At 38.2% G+C, this 25,864-nt stretch overlaps 1 annotated feature.

Annotated features, from left to right (window-relative positions):
- Positions 24,426-25,625: an enhancer, noted in NCBI's record as "BRD4-independent group 4 enhancer chr5:101517472-101518671 (GRCh37/hg19 assembly coordinates)". NCBI's record gives its function as "activates an origin of replication core promoter dependent on BRD2, P300/CBP, MED14 and CDK7 cofactors, and independent of BRD4, by STARR-seq in HCT116 cells {active_cell/tissue: HCT116}" and the evidence as "EXISTENCE:reporter gene assay evidence [ECO:0000049][PMID:35650434]".

The raw sequence follows: 25,864 nt of genomic DNA, 5'->3' as shown, positions 1-25,864 counted from the left end.
AATACCTAATTTATTGAGAGTTTTTAGCATGAAGGGTTGTTGAATTTTGTCAAAGGCTTTTTCTGCATCTATTGAGATAATCATGTGGTTTTTGTCTTTGGCTCTGTTTATATGCTGGATTACATTTATTGATTTGCGTATATTGAACCAGCCTTGCATCCCAATTCCTCGACACATACACTCTCCCAAGACTAAACCAGGAAGAAGTTGAATCTCTGAATAGACCAATAACAGGAGCTGAAATTGTGGCAATAATCAATAGTTTACCAACCAAAAAGAGTCCAGGACCAGATGGATTCACAGCCGAATTCTACCAGAGGTACAAGGAGGAACTGGTACCATTCCTTCTGAAACTATTCCAATCAATAGAAAAAGAGGGAATCCTCCCTAACTCATTTTATGAGGCCAGCATCATTCTGATACCAAAGCCGGGCAGAGACACAACCAAAAAAGAGAATTTTAGACCAATATCCTTGATGAACATTGATGCAAAAATCCTCAATAAAATACTGGCAAACCGAATCCAGCAGCACATCAAAAAGCTTATCCACCATGATCAAGTGGGCTTCATTCCTGGGATGCAAGGCTGGTTTTTTTTCTATTTCTGTAGAAAATGGCATTGCGATATTGATGGGGAGTGCATTGAATCTGTAGACCACTTTCGGTAGTGTGGAAATTTTGACAATACTAATTCTAATCCATGAACAATGGATGCCTTTCTATTCATCTGTGTCTTCTTTAATTTCCTTCAGTAATGAAATTTAGAATTTTCATTGTACAAGTATTTAACCTCTTTTGTTAAGTTTATTCCTATTTTATTATTTGTGTTGCTATAATGAATTATTTTCTTAATTTCTGTAGTTTGTTATTATTGTATAGAAATGCTATTGATTGGCTGGGCATGGTGGCTCACACCTGTAATCTCAGCACTTTGGGAGGTCAAGGTGGGTGGATCACTTGAGCCCAGGAGTTCGAGACCAGGCTGGCTAACATGGTGAAACCCCATCTCTACCAAAATTACAAAAATTACTTGAGCATGTTGGCACACGCTTGTAGTCCTAGCTACTTGGGGGGGCTGAGGCAGGAGAATTGCTAGAACCCAGGAGGCAGAGGTTGCAGTGAGCCATAATCGTGCCACTGAACCACTGTACTCCAGCTTGGGTGACAGAGTGAGACTGTTTCAAAAAGAAAAAGAAAGAAATGCTACTGATTTTTGTATCCTGATTTTGTATCCTGGAACTTTACTGAATTTTCCTTAGTTCTAATAAAATTTCTGTTTAGTCTTTAAGGTTTTCTGCATATATTATTATGTCAACTGCAAACAAAGATAATTTTATTTCTTCTTTTCTGAGTTAATTTTATTTCTGAGTTATTTCTGAGTCATTTCTGCGTTAATTTCTGAGTTTATTTCTGAGTTAATTTTATTTCTTCTTTTCTGAGTTAGATAACTTTTGTTTCTTTTTTTTTCTGTCTGATTGCTCTGCTTAGGACTTCCAGTACTATGCTGAGCAGAAATGGTGAGAGTGGGCATACTTGTCTAGTATCGAATCTGAGACAGAAGCTTTCCATTTTTCCCCATTGATTATACTAGCAGTACTTTTTATATATGGCCTTTGTTGTGTTAAGGTAAATTCTTTCTGTGTTTATTTTGTTAAGGGTTTTAATCATGAATGAGTATTGAACTTTTCAAATGCTTTTTCTTCATTTATTGAGGTGATTTTTCCCCATTTTGTTTTGTTAGTGTAATGTATCACTTGATGGATTTGTGTGTGTTGAACCATACTTGTATCCCAGGAATAGATACCACTTGGTCATGGTTATGATCCTTTTAATGTGCCATTGAATTTGACTTGTTAGTATTTTATTGAGAACTTTTGCATCTATGTTTATCAGGGATATTGGCCTTTAGCTTTATTTACTTGTGTTGTCTTTTTCTAGTTTTGGTATAAAAATGATGCTAGCTTCACAAAAAAAGTTTTTTTAAAAAAATTATTTTATTTTAAGTTCTGGGATACATGTGCAGGATGTGCAGGTTTGTTACATAGGTAAATGTATGCCATGGCGGTTTGCTGCACCTATCAACCCATCACCTAGCTATTAAGCCCCACATGCATTAGCTATTTATCCTGATGCTCTCCCTTCTCCCACCCTCCAGACAGGCCCTGGTATGTGTTGTTCCCTTCTCTGTGTTCACATGTTCTCATTGTTCAGCTCCTACTTATGAGTGAGAACATGCAGTGTTTGGTTTTCTTTTCCTGAGTTAGTTTGCTGAGAATTACAGCTTCCAGCTGTATCTGTGTCCATGTAAAGGACATAATCCTTTTCCTTTTTATGGCTGCATAGTATTCCATGGTGTATATATACCACATTTTCTTTGTCCAATTTATCATTGATGGGCATTTGGGTTGATTCCATGTCTTTGCCATTGTGAATAGTGCTGCAATGAACATACACGTGCATGTATCTTCATAATAGGATGATGTATATTCCTTTGGGTATATACCCAGTAATGGGATTGCTGGCTTGAGTAGTATTTCTGGTTCTAGGTCCTTGAGAAATTGCCACACTGTCTTCCACAAAGGATTAACTAATTTACATTTCCACCAACAGTGTAAAAGTGTTCCTATTTTTCCACAATCTCACCAGCACCTGTTGTTTCTTGACTTTTTAATAATTGCCATTCTGACTGGTGTGAGATGGTATCTAACTGTGGTTTTGGTTTGCATTTCTCTAATGATCAATGATGTTTAGCTTTTTTTCATATATTTGTTGGCCACATGAATGTCTTCTTTTGAGAAGTGTCTGTTCGTGTCCTTTGCCCACATTTTGATGTTTTTTTTCTTGTATATTTAAGGTTTTTTGCAGATTCTGGATATTAGACCTTTGTCAGATGGATAGATTGCAAAAATGTTCTCAAATTCGTAGGTTTTCTGTTCACTCTGATAATAGTTTCTTTTGCTGTGCAGAAGCTTTTTAGTTAGGTCCCATTTGTCAATTTTTGCTTTTGTTGCAGTTGCTTTTGGTGTTTTTATCATGAAATCTTTTCCTGTGCCTATATCCTAAATAGTATTGCCTAGATTTTCTTCTAGGGTTTGCATAGTTTTGGGTTTTACATTTAAGTCTTTAATCCATCTTGAGTTAATTTTTGTATAAAGTATATCGAAGGGGTCCAGTTTCAATTTTCTGCATATGGCTAGCCAGTTTTCCCAGCATGATTTATTAAATAGGGAATCCTTTCCCCATTGGTTGTTTTGGTCAGGTTTCTCAAAGATCAGATGGTTGTAGATGCATGGTCTTATTTCTGAGATCTCTATTCTGTTCTATTAGTCTATCTGTCTGTTTTGGTACCAGTATCATGCGGTTTTGGTTACTGTAGCCGTGTGGTATAGTTTGAAGTTGGGTAGCATGATGTCTCCAGCTTTGTTCTTTTTGCTTAGGATTGTCATGGCTATTCAGGCTCTTTTTGGGTTCCGTATTTTAAAGTAGTTATTTCAAATTCTGTGAAGAATATCAATGGTAGTTTGATGGGAATAGCATTGAATCTGTAAATTGCTTTGGGCAGTATGGCCATTTTCACGATATTGATTCCTCCTATCCACAAGCATGGAACATATTTCCATTTGTTTGTATTCTGTCTTATTTCCTTGAGCAGTGGTTTGTAGTTCTCCTTGAAGAGGTCCTTCACATCCCTTGCTAGCTGTATTCCTAGGTATTTTATCCTCTTTGTAGCAATTGTGAATGGGAGTTCATTTGTGATTTGGCTCTCTGCTTTTCTATTGTTGGTGTATAGGAATGCTTTTGATTTTTACACATAGATTTTGTATTCTGAAACTTTGCTGAAGTTGCTTATCAGCTTAAGGAGATTTTGGGCTGAGATGATGTGATATTCTAAATATAGAATCATGTTGTACGCAAACAGAGACAATTTGACTTTCTTTCTTCCTATTTGAATACCCTTTATTTCTTTCTCTTGCCTGATTGCCCTGGCCAGAACTTCCAATACTGTGTTGAATAGGAATGGTGAGAGAGGGCATCCTTGTCTTATGCCAGTTTTCAAAGGGAATGCCTCCAGCTTTTGCCCATGCAGTATGATATTGGCTGTGGGTTGGTCATAAATGGCTCTTATTATTTTGAGATATGCTCCATCAATACCTAGTTTATTGAGAATTTTTAACATGACGTGATGTTGAGTTTTATCAAAGGCCTTTTCTTCATTTAGTCAGATAATCATGTGGTTTTTGTCATTAGTTCTGCTTATGTGATGAATTACATTTATTGATTTGTATATGTTGAACCAGCTTTGTATCCCAGAGATGAAGCCGACTTGGTTGTAGTGGATAAGCTCATAAAGTAAGTTTTGAAGTGTTCCTTTTTTTATTTTCTGAAAGAATTTAAGAAGGGTTAGTACTAATTTTTCTTTGAATGTTTGATAGAATACAGCTGTGAAGCCATCTGGCCCTATGCTTTTCTTCTTTGGAAGATTTTTAATTACTAATTCAGTCTTCATCTTTGTTATTGGTCTGTTCAAGCTTTATTTTTCTTCTGGATTCAGTTTTGGTAGGTTGTGTGTTTCTATGAATTTACCTGTTTCTTTCAGCTTATCTAATTTGTTGGCATGTGTTTGTTAATAATGGTCTCTTATGATTCTTCATATTTCTCAGGCATCTGTTGTAATGTTGCCTCGTTTATATCTGATTCTATGAATTTGAGTCCTCTTTCTTAGTCTAACTAAAGTTATGTCAATTTTATTTATCTTTTTAAAAAATATATTCAGTTTTATTGATTATTCTTTTTTTATTCTCTATTTGATTAATTTGTGCTCTAACATTTATTATTTCTTTCCCTCTGCTAGCTTTGGGCTTAGTTTTTTCTTCTAGTGCCTTAAGGTAAACATTTAGGTTGTTTGAGGCCTTGTTTCCTTTTTATGCAGGCATTTATACAAAATTCTCTCTTTTTAGTTAATTTCAAGTGATTTAAAATAATGCTTTTAAGGTGGTGTTAAAACTAGGTTTGAATTTAGTTAATTCCGAGTGGCTAAAACCTTGTTTAACTAAAATAAAATCGAGTTAAAATCTAGTTGTAAGTTTTTGACGTTTGTTCTATGGCTGTCCTGAGGATAATATTTCTGAAAGTGGAAAAATATTGAGCAGTACTAGAAAACTGAATCTCAGGAAACAGTGTCTATTTTAGTAAATATTAATCTGTATATTTCATCTTATTGCCACTCTTAAATCAGCAATAGGTGCAACTTAATATCCTAAAATTTAATATTCCATAAACTTTGGTACATCTCTGAATTATTATCGGTCCAAATGTAATTGTGGCTTTTGCTATTACTTTCAATGGCAAAAGCCACAACTACTTTGCCCCAACCTAATAATATTCAAAGAAAATTAACTTGGATAAAAATTCTATGTTACAAAATTAGCGTAATGCTATTAGTTCAATGCCACTAAAATCTGGCTCTCTTTCAATCTTTATGCTTATTTTTTAGGGGGTCTTTTTTCTTCTTGCCTCCTAGATGTCAATTTTTCTCCTGTTACCAACCTCAGCCTTGTTCATGCTGTGTATTACCCACATCAGTTCTCAGGTTTCAGACACGTTTCTGATTGTCCCAATAGCCTCACTTGCCCAGTGCTACCAAGACTAGATTTAGAGTCCAAACACTGCTGTTCTTTTTGACTTTACTTATTCTATTACTTGCCTCTCAGTCACACAGATTGAAACAATCTTAAATGTTTTTGACTCATTAGCATTGACAGAGCAGGAACATTGCCATGAATGTTGCTTCTATCTCATCCAATTGGACCAACTAAGAAATGCTGCTGAAAAACTTAAAGAAAGGGCTAAAATGCTAAAAGAATACCAAAACAACCAAATAGATTCTTGGTTTGGGAACAAAATCATATCATGGGTCATCCCATTCCTGGGCCATCTCCTAATAATATGCCTAGTACTAATGTTTTCACCCTGCCTAATTAACCTTTTTCAAAGATTTTTAACCGACAGGATCATGATCATTTCACAGACAGCTACCCAAAAACATCTACAGGCAACGTTACTCCTACAGTCAATCTGAGACCAAAGAATTCTCCGTCCCCACCTCAGCAGGAAGTAGCCGGAAAGAACACACTGCCCCTTGTCCTTTTATAACTATAGGGTGTGGATTGACAGAGCAGGAGCATCACCATCTTGGGCAAACACCATCATTTTAAGTTCCCCTTTGATTAAAAACCGTCTAAATCCAGCCCCAAAACAGCCTAATGGCTAATGTCAGCATGGCCAGAAACATTCCAACCCTGAGATAAACCTCCCTGTGACCAGAAACATGCCAATCCTGAGATAACCTCCCCTCTGACCAGAGACATTCCAACCCCACAATCAAACTGTCCTTCACACAGAAACATTCCGAGCCTGCAGTAAGTTCCCACCCTCTAAACCCTTAAATACCTTTAATCTGTAAGAGAGAATGCTCCTGATCGAAATCAGCCAGAAGACCCTCTCAGATTTATTCTCCAAAATAAACTTGTCTTTGACTGTTAAGCTGCTTTTCATGTTTCTTTTCTCTTTCTTTAACTCTTACAAGCATTCCTTACTCTACCAAGATACTGTCAGTGCCCAACCATATCCCTTCAGTTCATCCCATGAGGAAAGTCCCTGAGTCTCTGATTGTGGGAGTATGCTTGTGTCATGTATAGGGCAAGCTGGAAGTGTCAGAAGGTTGATGGCTTAAAATTTAAGCTAACATTTAAGATCTATGAACTTTGAAAATATTGAAGTTAATCACCTAAAGAAAGGTTTCTGTAATTTTTTCCAGAGATATAGAATCATAATTTTATATACTTAACTACTGATTTCTGAAAACATTAGAGAGAAACTTGTAAAACACTTGTCATAAAATGAAAAGAAATGTCAAGATGTCCTTATGATGCTAGCATAACACATACATTTATTTTATTGTGTTGCCTAATCTTTTAAAGAAGATATGGACATTCTTACCTTAAATAAATCACAAAAATTACACTCATTGTCACACAAATCTAGCAAATGGGTTACTTATCCCCCTAGTTCCTATAGCAGGATATTATCTGTCAGTCATTTTGTTCTATGGCATATTTATTATGAGGCTCCTATTTCCTATGCGGAAAAGCAAAGTCATGACTGGAATGGTAGTGAAGCACCATGGGTCAGGGAAGAGAAACATGGTGGAACTAGAGCCAGGGTGCCTCATACAGACCTCTAGCCCAGCAAGAATCTTCATGTGCTGCAGATGATGCTGGTATTGCTGACTAGTCAGTGCTGTAATAGTTCTGAGTTTCTGGTAGAAAGGCTCCCGATAGCCTAGGTAGGAAGTACATAAAGGACTTCTCACAAACCATTGTTAGGGACAGAATACTAGTATGTAACAAGGTTACTGGGTCATGCTTCGGGTTCTGCTACTGACCTAGTCATGAATGTGCCTCAGAAATTTAAAGTATGAAATATTCCAATATATCCTTGCCTACTTCATAGTGGGCACTTAATGAATCAATAAAGATTAGGTATATTAGGAACTGTTTTGTTCCTGAAACCGGTTCAAGTGTCTTCACATATACTAACTTCTTTAGTCTGCATAACTGTTCCGGGTGGTTTTAACAGATGAAGAAATAGAGATTGGAGAAGGTTAAATTGCTATTTGTTATCTAAACTTAGTACTATAAAATGAATGAAAGAATATACTTTAAGGCTGTATAGGTACAATAACATCAAGATTCCACTCCCTCTTCCCTCCACACAACACACAGAAAAGATGTCTTTGAGCAATTTTCGGTCTAGTAAATAATTGCTCTTAACAACTATAACTAAAGATAGTCCAGGAAGTGAGCTTCAATACTTATAATTAATAGCATACATCATAAAATTTACTGTATACTAATGGAAACCCTGAATAAGTAGAAAACAATAGAGATAATCTAGATTTTTAAAAAAAATTTTTGACTTTCTTTTTCTGGTAACTAAATAAAAAGAAAATGAAATACATCAATTGCAATCACTATATCTTAAACTTTGTAACTTTTACAAAATATATTTTACAAAAAATATTTAACTTTCACTGGGCCATCTCCTAATAATATGCCTAGCACTAATGTTTTCACCCTGCCTAATTAACCTTTTTCAAAGATTTTTAACCAACAGAATCATGACCATCTCAGAGACAACTACTCCAAAACATCTACAGACAACGTTACTCCTACAGTCAATCTGAGAGCAAAGGATAAAGATAGCCCAGGAAGTGAGTTTCAATACTTATAATTAATAGCATACATCATAAAATTTACTGTATACTAATGGAAACCCTGAATAAGTAGAAAGCAATAGAAATAATCTAGATTTTTAAAAAGATATTTTTGATTTTCTGGTAACTAAATGAAAAGAAACATCAAAATGAAATACACCAATTGACAATTGAACTGGTTTCAGGCACAAAACAGGTTCATAACATACCTAATCTTTATTGATTCATTAAGTGCCCACTATGAAGTAGGCAAGGATATATTAGAATATTTCATACTCTAATATATTTTGTAACTTTTACTTTTCTTCATAAAATAACTTAGAAATTAGGTTATATCGGTATCAAAGACATCTAGGCCAGCATTGCCCCTGCAGGGAATTCATCATAGAAATGTGAATGCTACTTTCTCTACTAGACATCTCTTCACCTTCCTCTAATCTACGATTGACTCCTTCCTCATGCTCTCAATCCATTCTTTTGGCTTTTATTGCCACTGGCAAATATGAAGAGCTGGGAAATTGTGAAACATCCCTAGAGAAACTCTGCAAGGTTGCTGTCTCAGAAAAAAAATGACTGCATTAGATTTTTCTCCTTTTCTTTTGATTTACTTCCCAATTGCCTATTTCCCAGTATCAAGGGTCATAATCCTCTAAAAACTTTGGTTCTTTCTGTCCCCACTAATCACACTTAAAATATTCTCTTCATTATACTAATATTTCTCAAAAATCAGAAAAAAGTCTTAACTTCAAGAATATTTTGTTTTCCTTCCTTGAAAAACTCTCTTAGAAGCGAAATAGTACAGATCTACTTATCTCCTTGACAGTAGAAAAGGATAAACTCTAACAAGTATAAGTACATTGACTTGTTTTTATTTATCTCACAAAAAATGTTGCTTGAAAATTCCAAGTTCAAAACTTAAAAAGAAAGTTTTGATGATTGATCTTTTTTCCTCATGATTAGACACATTTTACTGTGTGGAATTAGATAGTTAAAAGGAATAAATATTAGGAAATAGAGGTCTCAAGAGTGCTCTTTTATTTTTAATTAACTATATCATTAATTAGAAGGAATTCTTAAATACAGTCATTATTCTTCATTCAGTGGTAAGATTTAATGAATATGTTGAAAGTATCCATAGATCAGAACCTGGATGCTTGTATACCTCTTACTTACCCTTCAATTAGAGAGAAATTATCAGGAAAAATATAGATTTTTATAATTAAATATGGTATTACTTCTTAATATCTGATTTACCACTTTGTTTTGAACATTCAACCCTGCTTTTTCACATACTGTTAGTTACATGTAACTTTGAGGATCTATTCTTTCCATTTTTCACAATATTCTGAGTGAGAATCTCTGTTTTCAAGAATGAGGCATCTATTAATGTAAAAAAATTGCAGGGACCTTTGCAAAAGCTTTATTGTAGTAACATAATAATAGTCATGGGGTTTCTGGAAAGGCTTTTCACCTCATTGACTGAGGCTTTAAAGAAGTATCCTAATAGAAATGCTTTAGAACTAATGAAAAAAAAACCAAAATTTTAATTCTAAACTACTGCCATAATGCCAGACTCTTGTACTTACCTGTCACTGATATTTTGGAAGAGTCACCTGGGAAAATGGAGCTCAATTTCTGTCTTTGGTTATACTATTTTAGAAACTGGCATGTGACTACAATAAACAGCTAGAGGAAAGTTGCCTTTAGAATAACATGGATCAACTCTGTGTTTTGTTTCCAACCACCACCACTGTGATACAAAGATGACATGGGATAGTCTTCAGGGTTTCTTAATCTAAAGGCAGAACAAGTCTACCTAGGATGGAAAAGCTACTGTTACCAAGTCAAAATTTCTGTCTGTTTATCACTGTTTGGATTAAAGTCACATACTTAAAAACTGTTTAGTCATTGGTAGTATTCACAAGTTGGCATTTCATTATTTGAAATTTGGAAGTAGACAAACTAATATTAAGGTAAAGTAAAGCAAATTTCTAACCTTACAAGTAAAACCAGCTGTTTGAATTTTTAGAACATTTTTCTAGTCGCTTCCAAGATGGCTGAATAGGAACAGCTCCGGTCTGCAGCTACCAGTGTGATCAATGCAGAAGACGAGTGATTTCTGCATTTCCAACTGAGGTACCTGGTTTATCTCACTGGTCCTGGTTGAACAGTGGGTGCAGTCCACAGAGGGCGAGCTGAAGCAAGACAGGGTGTCGCCTCACTCAGGAAGCGCAAGGGGTCGGGGGATTTCCCTTTCCTAGCCAAGAGAAGGAATGACAAACTGTATCTGGAGAAATGGTACACTCCTGACCAAATACTGCACTATTCCCACTGTATTAGCAACTGGCAGACCAGGGGATCCCCTCTCGTGCCTGGCTCAGCAGGTCCCACACCCACGCAGCCTTGCTCACTGCTAGCGCAGCAGTCTGAGATCCACCTGTGACACTGCAGCTGGACACGGGGAGGGGTGTCTGCCATTGCTGAGGCTTGAGTAGCTCACAGTGTAAACAAAGAGGTCTGGAAGCACGAACTGAGTGGAGTCCGCGGCAGCTCAGCAAGGCCTACTGCCTCTATAGATTCCACCTCTGGGATCAGGGCATAGTAGAACAAAAGGCAGCAGACAGCTTCTGCAGACTTAAACATCCCTGTCTGACAGCGCTGAAGAGAGCAGTGGTTCTCTCAGCATGGCGTTCGAGCTCCAAAAATGGATAGACTGCCTCCTCAAGTGGATGACTGACCCCTGGGTAGCCTGACTGGGAAATACCTCCAAGTAGGGGCCGACAGACATCTCAAACAGGTGGGTGCCCCTCTGGGATGAAGCTTCCAGAGGAAGGATCAGGCAGCAATATTTGCTGTTCTGCAGACTCCTCTGGTGATATACCCGGGCAAACAGGGTCTGGAGTGGACCTACAACAAACTCCAACAGACCTGCACCTGAGGGGTCTGACTGTTAGAAGGAAAACTAACCAACAGAAGGAAACCAGGTATTTGAATTTTTAGCACATTTTTCTAGTCGCTTCCAAGATGGCTGAGTAGGAACAGCTCTGGTCTGCAGCTCCCAGCATGATCGATGCCGAAGACGGGTGATTTCTGTATTTCCAACTGAGGTACCTGGTTCATCTCACTGGTACTGGTTGAACAGTGGGTGCAGCCCACAGAGGGCGAGCTGAAGCAGGACATCAACATCAACAAAAAGGATATCCACACCAAAACCCCATCTGTAGGTCACCAACATCAAAGACCAAAGGTAGATAAAACCACAAAGATGGGGAGAAACCAGAGCAGAAAAGCTGAAAATTCCAAAAAACAGAGCACCTCTTCTCCTCCAAAGGATTGCAGCTCCTCACCAGCAAGGGAACAAAACTGGATGGAGAATGAGATTGAGAAATTGACAAAAGTAGGCTTCAGAAGGTCGGTAATAACAAACTTCTCGAAGCTAAAGGAGCATGTTCTAACCCATCACAAGGAAGCTAAAACCTTGAAAAGACGTTAGATGAATGGCCAACTAGAATAAACAGTGTAGAGAAGACCTTAAATCACCTGATGGAGCTGAAAACCATGGCACAAGAACTTCGAGACGCACAAGCTTTAATAGCCAATTCGATCAAGTGGAAGAAAGGATATCAATGATTGATATCCAAATTAATAAAATAAAGTGAGAAGACAAGATTAGAGAACAAAAGAGTGAAAAGAAATGAACAAAGGCTCTGAGAAATATGGGATTATGTGAAAATACCAAATCTACATTTGACTGGTGTACCGCAAAGTGACACGGATAATGGAACCAAGTTAGAAAACACTCTGCAGGATATCATCCAGGAGAACTTCCCTAACCTAGAAAGGCAGGCCAACATTCAAATTCAGGAAATACAGAGAACACCACAAAGATACTCCTCGAGAAGAGCAACCCCAAGACACATAATTTTCAGATTCACCAAGGGTAAAATAAAGGAAAAAATGTTAAGGGCAGCCACAGAGAAAGGTCGGGTTACCCACAAAGGGAAGCCCATCAGACTAACAGCAGATCTCTCTGCAGAAACCCTACAAGCCAGAAGAGAGTAGGGGCCAATATTCAACATTCTTAAAGTAAAGAATTTTCAACCCAGAATCTCATATCCAGCCAAACTAAGCTTCATAAGTGAAGGAGAAATAAAATCCTTTACAGACAAGCAAATGCTGAGAGATTTTGTCACCACCAGGCCTGCCTTACAAGAGCTCCTGAAGGAAGCACTAAACATGGAAAGAAACAACCGGTATTAGCCACTGCAAAATTTTTTTTTTTTTTTTTTTTTTTTTTTTTTTTTTTTACTTTTTTTTTTTTTAATTATACTCTAAGTTTTAGGGTACATGTGCACATTGTGCAGGTTAGTTACATATGTATACATGTGCCATGCTGGTGCGCTGCACCCACTAACGTGTCATCTAGCATTAGGTATATCTCCCAATGCTATCCCTACCCCCTCCCCCGACCCCACCACAGTCCCCAGAGTGTGATATTCCCCTTCCTGTGTCCATGTGATCTCATTGTTCAATTCCCACCTATGAGTGAGAATATGCGGTGTTTGGTTTTTTGTTCTTGTGATAGTTTACTGAGAATGATGGTTTCCAATTTCATCCATGTCCCTACAAAGGACATGAACTCATCATTTTTTATGGCTGCATAGTATTCCATGGTGTATATGCCCATGCCTATGTCCTGAATGGTATTACCTAGGTTTTCTTCTAGGGTTTTTATGGTTTTAGGTCTAACGTTTAAATCTTTAATCCACCTTGAATTGATTTTTGTATAAGGTGTAAGGAAGGGATCCAGTTTCAGCTTTCTACATATGGCTAGCCAGTTTTCCCAGCACCATTTATTAAATAGGGAATCCTTTCCCCATTGCTTGTTTTTCTCAGGTTTGTCAAAGATCAGATAGTTGTAGATATGCGGCATTATTTCTGAGGGCTCTGTTCTGTTCCATTGATCTATATCTCTGTTTTGGTACCAGTACCATGCTGTTTTGGTTACTGTAGCCTTGTAGTATAGTTTGAAGTCAGGTAGTGTGATGCCTCCAGCTTTGTTCTTTTGGCTTAGGATTGACATGGCGATGCGGGCTCTTTTTTGGTTCCATATGAACTTTAAAGTAGTTTTTTCCAATTCTGTGAAGAAAGTCATTGGTAGCTTGATGGGGATGGCATTGAATCTGTAAATTACCTTGGGCAGTATGGCCATTTTCACAATATTGATTCTTCCTACCCATGAGCATGGAATGTTCTTCCATTTGTTTGTGTCCTCTTTTATTTCCTTGAGCAGTGGTTTGTAGTTCTCCTTGAAGAGGTCCTTCACATCCCTTGTAAGTTGGATTCCTAGGTATTTTATTCTCTTTGAAGCAATTGTGAATGGGAGTTCACTCATGATTTGGCTCTCTGTCTGTTGTTGGTGTAAAAGAATGCTTGTGATTTTTGTACATTGATTTTGTATCCTGAGACTTTGCTGAAGTTGCTTATCAGCTTAAGGAGATTTTGGGCTGAGACGATGGGGTTTTCTAGATAAACAATCATGTCATCTGCAAACAGGGACAATTTGACTTCCTCTTTTCCTAATTGAATACCCTTTATTTCCTTCTCCTGCCTGATTGCCCTGGCCAGAACTTCCAACACTATGTTGAATAGGAGCGGTGAGAGAGGGCATCCCTGTCTTGTGCCAGTTTTCAAAGGGAATGCTTCCAGTTTTTGCCCATTCAATATGATATTGGCTGTGGGTTTGTCATAGATAGCTCTTATTATTTTGAAATAGGTCCCATCAATACCTAATTTATTGAGAGTTTTTAGCATGAAGGGTTGTTGAATTTTGTCAAAGGCTTTTTCTGCATCTATTGAGATAATCATGTGGTTTTTGTCTTTGGCTCTGTTTATATGCTGGATTACATTTATTGATTTGCGTATATTGAACCAGCCTTGCGTCCCAGGGATGAAGCCCACTTGATCATGGTGGATAAGCTTTTTGATGTGCTGCTGGATTCGGTTTGCCAGTATTTTATTGAGGATTTTTGCATCAATGTTCATCAAGGATATTGGTCTAAAATTCTCTTTTTTGGTTGTGTCTCTGCCCGGCTTTGGTATCAGAATGATGCTGGCCTCATAAAATGAGTTAGGGAGGATTCCCTCTTTTTCTATTGATTGGAATAGTTTCAGAAGGAATGGTACCAGTTCCTCCTTGTACCTCTGGTAGAATTCGGCTGTGAATCCATCTGGTCCTGGACTCTTTTTGGTTGGTAAACTATTGATTATTGCCACAATTTCAGAGCCTGTTATTGGTCTATTCAGAGATTCAACTTATTCCTGGTTTAGTCTTGGGAGAGTGTATGTGTCGAGGAATGTATCCATTTCTTCTAGATTTTCTAGTTTATTTGCGTAGAGGTGTTTGTAATATTCTCTGATGGTAGTTTGTATTTCTGTGGGATCGGTGGTGATATCCCCTTTATCAGTTTTTATTGTGTCTATTTGATTCTTCTCTCTTTTTTTCTTTATTAGTCTTGCTAGCGGTCTATCAATTTTGTTGATCCTTTCAAAAAACCAGCTCCTGGATTCATTGATTTTTTGAAGGGTTTTTTCTGTCTCTATTTCCTTCAGTTCTGCTCTGATTTTAGTTATTTCTTGCCTTCTGCTAGCTTTTGAATGTGTTTGCTCTTGCTTTTCTAGTTCTTTTAATTGTGATGTTAGGGTGTCAATTTTGGATCTTTCCTGCTTTCTCTTGTAGGCATTTAGTGCTATAAATTTCCCTCTACACACTGCTTTGAATGCGTCCCAGAGATTCTGGTATGTGGTGTCTTTGTTCTCGTTGGTTTCAAAGAACATCTTTATTTCTGCCTTCATTTCGTTATGTACCCAGTAGTCATTCAGGAGCAGGTTGTTCAGTTTCCATGTAGTTGAGCGGCTTTGAGTGAGATTCTTAATCCTGAGTTCTAGTTTGATTGCACTGTGGTCTGAGAGATAGTTTGTTATAATTTCTGTTCTTTTACATTTGCTGAGGAGAGCTTTACTTCCAAGTATGTGATCAATTTTGGAATAGGTGTGGTGTGGTGCTGAAAAAAATGTATATTCTGTTGATTTGGGGTGGAGAGTTCTGTAGATGTCTATTAGGTCCGCTTGGTGCAGGGCTGAGTTCAATTCCTGGGTATCCTTGTTGACTTTCTGTCTCGTTGATCTGTCTAATGTTGACAGTGGGGTGTTAAAGTCTCCCATTATTAATGTGTGGGAGTCTAAGTCTCTTTGTAGGTCACTGAGGACTTGCTTTATGAATCTGGGTGCTCCTGTATTGGGTGCATAAATATTTGGGATAGTTAGCTCCTCTTGTTGAATTGATCCCTTTACCATTATGTAATGGCCTTCTTTGTCTCTTTTGATCTTTGTTGGTTTAAAGTCTGTTTTATCAGAGACTAGGATTGCAACCCCTGCCTTTTTTTGTTTTCCATTGGCTTGGTAGATCTTCCTCCATCCTTTTATTTTGAGCCTATGTGTGTCTCTGCACGTGAGATGGGTTTCCTGAATACAGCACACTGATGGGTCTTGACTCTTTATCCAACTTGCCAGTCTGTGTCTTTTAATTGCAGAATTTAGTCCATTTATATTTAAAGTTAATATTGTTATGTGTGAATTTGATCCTGTCATTATGATGTTAGCTGGTGATTTTGCTCATTAGTTGATGCAGTTTCTTCCTAGTCTTGATGGTCTTTACATTTTGGCATGATTTTGCAGCGGCTGGTACCGGTTGTTCCTTTCCATATTTAGCGCTTCCTTCAGGAGCTCTTTTAGGGCAGGCCTGGTGGTGACAAAATCTCTCAGCATTTGTTTGTCTATAAAGTATTTTATTTCTCCTTCACTTATGAAGCTTAGTTTGGCTGGATATGAAATTCTGGGTTGAAAATTCTTTTCTTTAAGAATGTTGAATATTGGCCCCCACTCTCTTCTGGCTTGTAGGGTTTCTGCCGAGAGATCCGCTGTTAGTCTGATGGGCTTTCCTTTGAGGGTAACCCGACCTTTCTCTCTGGCTGCCCTTAACATTTTTTCCTTCATTTCAACTTTGGTGAATCTGACAATTATGTGTCTTGGAGTTGCTCTTCTCGAGGAGTATCTTTGTGGCGTTCTCTGTATTTCCTGAATCTGAACGTTGGCCTGCCTTGCTAGATTGGGGAAGTTCTCCTGGATAATATCCTGCAGAGTGTTTTCCAACTTGGTTCCATTCTCCACATCACTTTCAGGTACACCAATCAGACGTAGATTTGGTCTTTTCACATAGTCCCATATTTCTTGGAGGCTTTGCTCATTTCTTTTTATTCTTTTTTCTCTAAACTTCCCTTCTCGCTTCATTTCATTCATTTCATCTTCCATTGCTGATACCCTTTCTTCCAGTTGATCGCATCGGCTCCTGAGGCTTCTGCATTCTTCACGTAGTTCTCGAGCCTTGGTTTTCAGCTCCATCAGCTCCTTTAAGCACTTCTCTGTATTGGTTATTCTAGTTATACATTCTTCTAAATTTTTTTCAAAGTTTTCAACTTCTTTGCCTTTGGTTTGAATGTCCTCCCGTAGCTCAGAGTAATTTGATCGTCTGAAGCCTTCTTCTCTCAGCTCGTCAAAATCATTCTCCATCCAGCTTTGTTCTGTTGCTGGTGAGGAACTGCGTTCCTTTGGACGAGGAGAGGTGCTCTGTGTTTTAGAGTTTCCAGTTTTTCTGTTCTGTTTTTTCCCCATCTTTGTGGTTTTATCTACTTTTGGTCTTTGATGATGGTGATGTACAGATGGTTTTTCAGTGTAGATGTCCTTTCTGGTTGTTAGTTTTCCTTCTAACAGACAGGACCCTCAGCTGCAGGTCTGTTGGAATACCCTGCCGTGTGAGGTGTCAGTGTGCCCCTGCTGGGGGGTGCCTCCCAGTTAGGCTGCTCGGGGATCAGGGGTCAGGGACCCACTTGAGGAGGCAGTCTGCCCGTTCTCAGATCTCCAGCTGCGTGCTGGGAGAACCACTGCTCTCTTCAAAGCTGTCGGACAGGGACACTTAAGTCTGCAGAGGTTACTGCTGTCTTTTTGTTTGTCTGTGCCCTGCCCCCAGAGGTGGAGCCTACAGAGGCAGGCAGGCCTCCTTGAGCTGTGGTGGGCTCCACCCAGTTGGAGCTTCCCTGCTGCTTTGTTTACCTAAGCAAGCCTGGGCAATGGCGGGCGCCCCTCCCCCAGCCTGGTTGCTGCCTTGCAGTTTGATCTCAGACTGCTGTGCTAGCAATCAGCGAGATTCCGTGGGCGTAGGACCCTCTGAGCCAGGTGTGGGATATAGTCTCGTGGTGCGCCGTTTTTTAAGCCGGTCTGAAAAGCGCAATATTCGGGTGGGAGTGACCCGATTTTCCAGGTGCGTCCGTCACCCCTTTCTTTGACTCGGAAAGGGAACTCCCTGACCCCTTGCGCTTCCCAGGTGAGGCAATGCCTCGCCCTGCTTCGGCTCGCGCACGGTGCGCACACACACTGGCCTGCGCCCACTGTCTGGCACTCCCTAGTGAGATGAACCCGGTACCTCAGATGGAAATGCAGAAATCACCCGTCTTCTGCGTCGCTCACGCTGGGAGCTGTAGACCGGAGCTGTTCCTATTCGGCCATCTTGGCTCCTCCCACTGCCACTGCAAAAATTTATCAAAATGTAAAGATCATTGACATTATGAAGAAACTGCATCAACTAATGGGCAAAATAACCAGCTAGCATCATAATGTCAGGATCAAATTCACACATAACAACATTAAACTTAAATGTAAATGGGCTAAATGCCCCAATTAAAAGACACAGACTGGCAAATTGGATAAAGAATCAAAATAATAAGAGCTATTTATGACAAACTCACAGCCAATATCATATTGAATGGGCAAAAACTGGAAGCATTCCCTTTGAAAACCAGCACAAGACAAAGATGCCCTCTCTCACCACTCCTATTCAACATAGTGTTGGAAGTTCTGGCAAGGGCAATCAAGCAAGAGAAAGAAATAAAGCATATTCAAGTAGGAAGAGAGGAAGTCAAATTGTCTCTGTTTGCAGATGACATGATTGTATATTTAGAAAACCCTATCATCTCAGCCCAAAATCTCCTTAAGCAGATAAGAAACTTCAGCAAAGTCTCAGGATACAAAATCAATGTGCAAAAATCACAAGCATTCCTATACACCAATAGTAGACAAACAGAGAGCCAAATCATGAGTGAACTCCCATTCACAATTACTACAAAGAGAATAAAATACCTAGGAATCCAACTTACAAGGGATGTGAAGGACCTCTTCAAGGAGAACTACAAACCCCTGCTCAATGAAATAAAAGAGGACACAAACAAATGGAAGAACATTCCATGCTCATGGATAAGAAGAATGATTATCATGAAAATGACCATACTGCCCAAAGTAATTTATAGATTCAATGCTACCCCCATTAAGCTACCACTGAGTTTCTTTACAGAATTGGAAAAAACTACTTTAAAGTTCATATGGAGCAAAAAAAAAAAACAAAAAAAAACAAAAAAAAACCAAAAAAACCCTGCATAGCCAAGAGCATCCTAAGCAAAAAGAACAAAGCTGGAGGCATCACACTAGCTGACTTCCAACTATACTACAAGGCTACAGTAACCAAAACACCATGATACTGGTACCAAAAAAGATATATAGACTAATGGTACGGAAGAGCGGCTTCAGAAATAACACCACGTATCTACAATCATCTGATCTTTTGCAAACCTGACAGAAACAAGCAATGGAGAAAGGATTCCCTCTTTAATGAATAGTGTTGGGAAAACTGGCTAGCCATATGTAGAAAGATGAAACTGGATCCCTTCCTTACACTGTATACAAAAATTAACTCAAGATGGATTAAAGACTTAAATGTAAGACCTAACACCATAAAAACCCTAGAAGAAAAGCAAAGCAATACCATTCAGGACATAGGCATGGGCAAAGCCTTCTGAGTAAAACACCAAAAACAATGGCAACAAAAGCCAAAATTGACAAATGGGATCTACTTAAACTAAAGAGCTTCTGCATAGCAGATGAAACTATCATCAGAGTGAACAGGCAACCTACAGAATGGGAGAAAATTTTTGCAATCTACCAATCCGACAAAAGGCTAATATCCAGAATCTACGGAGAACTTAACAAATTTACAAGAAAAAAACAAACAACCCCATCAAAAAGTGGGCAAAGAATATGAACAGACACATTTCAAAGGAAGATATTTATGCAGCCAACAGACATACAAAAATGCTCATCATCACTGGTCATCAGATAAATGCAAATCAAAACCACAGTGAGATATCATCTCATGCCAGTTAGAATGGCGATCATTAAAAAGTCAGGATACAACAGGTGCTAGAGAGGATGTGGAGAAATATGAACACTTTTACACTGTTGGTGGGAGTGTAAATTAGTTCAACCATTGTGGAAGACATTGTGGCAATTCCTCAAGGATCTAGAACTAGAAATACCATTTGGCCCAGCAATCCCATTACTGGGATATACCCAAAGGGTTATAAAGCATTCTATGATAAAGACACATGCACACATATGTTTACTGCGGCACTATTCACAATAGCAAAGACTTGGAACCAACCCAAGTGTCCATCAGTGATACACTGGATTAAGAAAATGTGGCACTTATACACCATGAAATATTATGCAGCCATAAAAAAGGAAAGTGCATGTCCTTTGCAGGGACGTGGATGAAGCTGGAAACCATCATTCTAAGCAAACTATCACAAGGACAGAAAACCAAACACTGCATGCTCTCACTTATAGGTGGGAGTTGAACAATGAGAACATGTGGACACAGGGCAGGGAACATCACACACCAGGGCTGGCTGGGGGGTGGGGGGCTGGTGGAGGGATAGCATTAGGAGAAATACCTAATGTAAATGATGAGTTGATGGGTGCAGCAAACCAACATGGCACATGTATACCTATGTAACAAATCTGCATATTGTGCACATGTACCCTAGAATTTAAAGTATAATTTAAAAATTTTTTTTTTCTGTGGGACCATACTATTTGTTTGATTTTTCTCTTCCCATTAGAATTCAAGCCATGTAACAATCTTTGACTTAAAGGTGAAAATTGCATTGGGATATTTTTTCTATCTTGATATATAGGAAGGATACACAATTGTCAGTATAGCCTCTGAACTAACATCTTTTCTTCACAAAATTAGTTTTCTAGAAACAAGAAATATTCTATGTGAAATCATGTATAGTAGGGTTAAATATTTATTTTCGATACTTATCTATTCAAATAAAAAGGTTTCTTTACATCCTATAATTTATATGATCTTTTCAATGCCTTGACATTGTAGGATGGAACAGAGTCCCCATGTCCTCCCATCCACACCTTACTATGTTCATTTGCAATACAGTAAACTCTTCAAATACAGCAATTTAAGTCCTTTTATTCCAGTTAACTTGGAAACTTAATTCTTTTTGGGATGACTTAATTTCTCAAATGTTTTTTCTGTCATCCTCAGCTGTTTGCCAACATGCCTTCTGGTAATATGATATGGGGTTTACATGTCTCCATAGTGGTATCAGGATACAAATTCTGTGGAATCCAGTGATTTTCTTTGACCTCTGCTGTTGGTGTGACTAGTTATATAGATTATTTGAACTAGTGATTGCTGTGCTGGGTCAATGGATGCTTGGGCATTGTGCTGACATCTACTATTGAAATATATGGACACCACCTTTTGCCATCGATAAGAAAATAGGTACTCAGAGCATTCTCTTTATCCCAATCCTATATTCTTCCGAAGGTCCACTGTATCTCTTTAGGAGGGTTTAAGAAAACTATTTAAACCTCTTTAGGGTCCCCACAATTGGAAGGGAGCCAGAGGAGAGGGCAACCTTAGGCTATCTCTCTAACCATTTCCTGCTGCCAACCCTGTATGATTCCTGACATGTCATGTTGAACGTGGCCACATAAAAGTCTTCTGTTAGAACAGGGGTATGCAAACTACAGCCTAGAGACCAAATCTGCCTGCCACCTGATGTGAAAAAGTATTATATTTGAACACAGCCACACATTCATTTATATGTTATCTATGGCTGCTTTTGTGCTAGGAGGACAAAGTTTGAGTAGTTGTGACAGAGACCACCTGGGCCACAAAGCCTAAAATTATTATCTGACCCTTCATAGACATTGGCTGACTCCTGCTCTAGAGACTTACAGCCTTCCCAGGGTATCCTGGATAAAATGTGTCACTATCCTCTCTCCCTCTCTCCTGTTCTCAAGATTCACCATGCCCATTAGGATTTTTCCAGAAAGGAAAAATAAGAACATGGGTCGACCTCTTTCACCATCATCTTTTCTTCTTGGGACCTCAAGGGGTACCTCTCTATTCTCTTCTTGTGTGCCAGCAATTGCCTTAAGTCAATATGTCCTTTCTTAGTTGTATTCTCTCTTTTTCTTGATATCCAGATCACAGGCAGGGAGTATGGAGCGGGGAAGCAACTTCACAAAGAGGAAATATAAATTGGGAGATATTTCAACAGATGTTATTCTTTGATTTTCCTACTTGTGTAAGTTAGTACCAATAAACAGGCACTTGAAAGACTAAATTGTTACTTTGTTTTTCCTAGTAATGCTAAAATATTCACATCACATCTTTCTTTTTTCTCAAATAAATTAAGTAAAACATAATGATCATGAATGATTTAAGTAAGTGAAAAACTAATCAGAATTTGGGAATAATATTGTAGCATTAGCAACTATGTGCAGTGCTCAAATTGTGTTTACACCACACATGCTGTATCAGCTTCTAAAATTTATAGTTTATATTCTTCTATCAAAACATACTTATTTATATATTTCTTAACCTCACATTAAATTGGGTTGACTAATGTTTCAATTCTTAATAGTAGCAGGGTTTTGTTATAATTTTTGCATCAGAAATTATTCACAAGGCGTCATGTTTGGATGCTTGAATTCATATGTTACCTAGTATCTAAGGTTTCCATGAGCTGATCAAAAGCTACTTTGATTTGTCAACATATGCTGTATCGTCTCCTTTGTGAGTTCAACTTAACATGGTTTAAAAACTTAAAGATGCTTGTACATAGTATACTTGAGTATGCAGCAAACTTATGAATATTCATATGACATGTAAATGCTATGTTTATCTGATGTGTGTGTGTGTGTGTGTGTGTGTGTCTGTGCATGCATACAAGCAGTGGGTTGCCAGGGTAGCAGGAAGGATTGGTGATGATTAGCTACGAGAATTGGAAGTACAGGAGCATCTAACTCCCTTGCTTTTCTCTCCATCAATTGTACTCATTCAGCAAAAGACTGACCTCTTTAAATCCAAATTTCTATCCACTAGCTACTTGCCCCCAACTAGCTGAATGTGGTTAGATAAAAACATCCAATTATTGCTCTCATTTTAAATTTATGATCATAAATCTTAAGTGGTCCTCAGGATTGTCTAGCAAAACCATTACCCAGTAGAGAAGAAGACATTGAACATGCTGAGGAGCAATGGTCTAGTTTGATTCTTGATGTCAGAGTGGATGGTATCCATTGGTCACAGGATGGGCAAGACTTGAATAAGGGCATGAACTACGTAACCACAGTTACAGAGGTAAAGGCAGTGTCCACTCATTCTTCTACTTCCAAGAAAACTATTTGCCCATTTCATCCCATCTCAAAGGTCTAGACTAACTCTCCCTCATCTTAACTCTTTGCTGATTTTATCTCTACTTTTCCCAAGAAAATCTGAGCAATCCTAAGAAATGATGTTATCTTTGCACCTCCAACTCTGCACACTGACTTGCATCATCATGTTTTTACTCTGTCTTCTCTTCTATAACTGTGGTTGAATAGTCCGTGCTTCCACCCAAGTATTGCTCATTATGTGACCAGTCAATAACATTCACTCGAACATCATGAACCTCCTGCAATTAGCCCACTGCTTCTCAGCATCTGTATTAGTCCGTTTTCACACTGCTGATAAAGACACACCCGAGACTGGGAAAAAAAGAGGTTTAATGGATTTACAGTTTCACATGGCTGGGGAGGCCTCACAATCATGGCAGAAGGCAAGGAGGAGTAAGTTACATCTTACATGGATGGTGGCAGGCAAAGAGAGAGCTTGTATGGGGCAACTCCCCCTTTTAAAACCATTGGATTTTGTGAGATTCATTCATTATCATGAGAACAGCATGGAAAAGACCAGCTTCCATGATTTAATCACCTCCCATCTGGTCCTTCCCACAACACATGGGAATTCAAGATGAGATTCGGATGGGGACACAGCCAAACCATATCAGTATTTATTTCCTACTGTAATCTTAAATGATGTGTCTCATTTAAAACTATTTTTTCTCATGTATTTTTCCTTGACCTAAAACTAGAAAGAAAAGAACAGCTATGAGAAAAACAAAACTAAAAACAAAATATGTGATAAGAATTGATGGTATCAGTATGTGAAGATTCTGTGAGTGATTACATCATGAGGGTGGGGCCTTCATGAATTACATTAATGCTCTTATAAAAAGAGAATACAGAGACCTAGCTAGTTCCTTCCACTGTGTAAGGACACAATGAAAAGTTGCCAACCATGAACCAGAAAATGTGCCCTCATAATACACTGAATCTTCTGGGGTCTTACTATTGAAGTTTTCAGCCTCCAGAATTATAACAAATAAATTTCTCTTATTTATAAGTCACACAATTTATGGCATTTTGTTACAGAAGCTAGAATGAACTAAGATACTCTGCTATGCTATCCTTAGCATACAGCTTTCATTCATCAAAATTCACTCCTGGGAAAGTATCTGTTAGTTTCATTATTAAAGGATATTTTTCTTTGTAAGGGTACAGGTGTTAGGCCAAGGTTTTTCAAAATCCAGTCATTTTAGCACCATCTCCAACTTTTTGCCACATACCACTTGTACTATTACTTAATTAACACCTTTATTCTATCTTAAATAGACTTGGAATTATTATTTGCAGTAATCTGCTTGATATCTTAGAATTAATACTTTAGTTATCTTTTTTCAAGTACATGTAGAAAGAAGTATTGTATATAACTGTTTCAAAAAGTTTATTAATATCTCATTTCAAATCAGTTGTACACAATTACTTGTCCATATACTATCTGTGAATATATAATGTGTCAACATGGCTTAGCTACGGTGCCCACATGTGTGGTCAAATAGTAGTCTGGATGTTGCTGTAGAGGTATTTTTCAGATGTGGTTAACATTTATGATCAGTGGACTTTAAGTGTTGCTGATTACCCTCCATAGCCTGCTTCATCCAATCAGCTGAATGCTATAAGAACAAAGAGTGAAGTTTCCTGCAGAAAAAGAAATTTTGCTTCAAGACTGCCACAAAGAAACCCTGCTAGAATTTCTCGCCTGCTGGTCTGGCCTACAGATTTTGGATTTGCCAGACCATCACAAGCACGTGAGCCAATTCCTTAAAATAAATCTTTCTTGATATATATCCTATTGGTTATATTTCTTTGAAGAACTCTAATACAGTATCCCTTAAAAAACATTGCCTTAACACAAGAGAATAAATCATTAGGAGTACAATTTTAATTAATATTGAAAAGTTATGTTTGAAAAGGTAATATTTGTTCACAGAATAAAATTCAATGGATATATAGGCTATAAGGTAAAAAAATAATACTCCCTTCCACTTTTCTGTCTCCAAAACATCTGGCTCTTTCCTTAGGGAAAACCCTTATTACCACTCTCTCCCATATCTCCAGGAATATTCTGTATATGTAATCAAACGTGTACATAAATAGTTACACATACATACATACTCCCAGACATTTAACATTTCTGAAATCAGGGAGATTTTTTTCCTGGCTATAACGATTATGCTTGCCATTTTTGCTTGATTTTGTTTTTATGTGGCATAACTGGACAACTTAACTGAAATATATTTTAACGGACAAACCAGTTTTAAGGGTTATTTACAGGCTGCGCACGGTGGCTCACACATGTAATTCCAGCACTTTGGGAGGGTGAGGTGGGTGGATCACTTGAGGCAAGGAGTTCGAGACCAGCCTGGCCAACGTGATGAAACCCCCGTCTTTACAAGTACAAAAATTAGCTAGGCATGTTGGCACATGCCTGTAATCCCAGCTACTCCAGAGGCTGAGGCAGGATAATTGTTTGAACCTGGGAGGCAGAGGTTGCAGTGAGCCCAGATTGCAGCACTGCACTCCAGCATGGGCAACAGAGTGAGACTCCATCTCAAAAACAAAAACAAAAACAAAAACAAACTACTTACTTACAGGAATATGAATGATTTTGATTATTTGGAAAAGAAATTTGTTGATACATTCTGGGAGACCAAGAGAACACTAGTATTAAAATCTGCAGAATGAGTGTCAGCCCCTTGAAGGAAAATCCCAGAGATAATATCCATTCTAGCAGGTATGAGGTGATACCTCATTGAAGATTTGATGTACATTTCCACAACACGTTTCACAGTGCTGTTGAAAGCCTTTTCATATTCCTGTTGGCCATTCTTTTGTCTGTCTTCTTTAGAGAAATGTCTGTGTTTTCATAGTTCCTTTGCATATTTTAAAATC

This window comes from Homo sapiens, chromosome 5 (genome assembly GCF_000001405.40).
Source record: "Homo sapiens chromosome 5, GRCh38.p14 Primary Assembly".
Lineage (NCBI taxonomy): Eukaryota > Metazoa > Chordata > Mammalia > Primates > Hominidae > Homo > Homo sapiens.
This window is presented reverse-complemented; position numbering and strand designations above follow the sequence as displayed.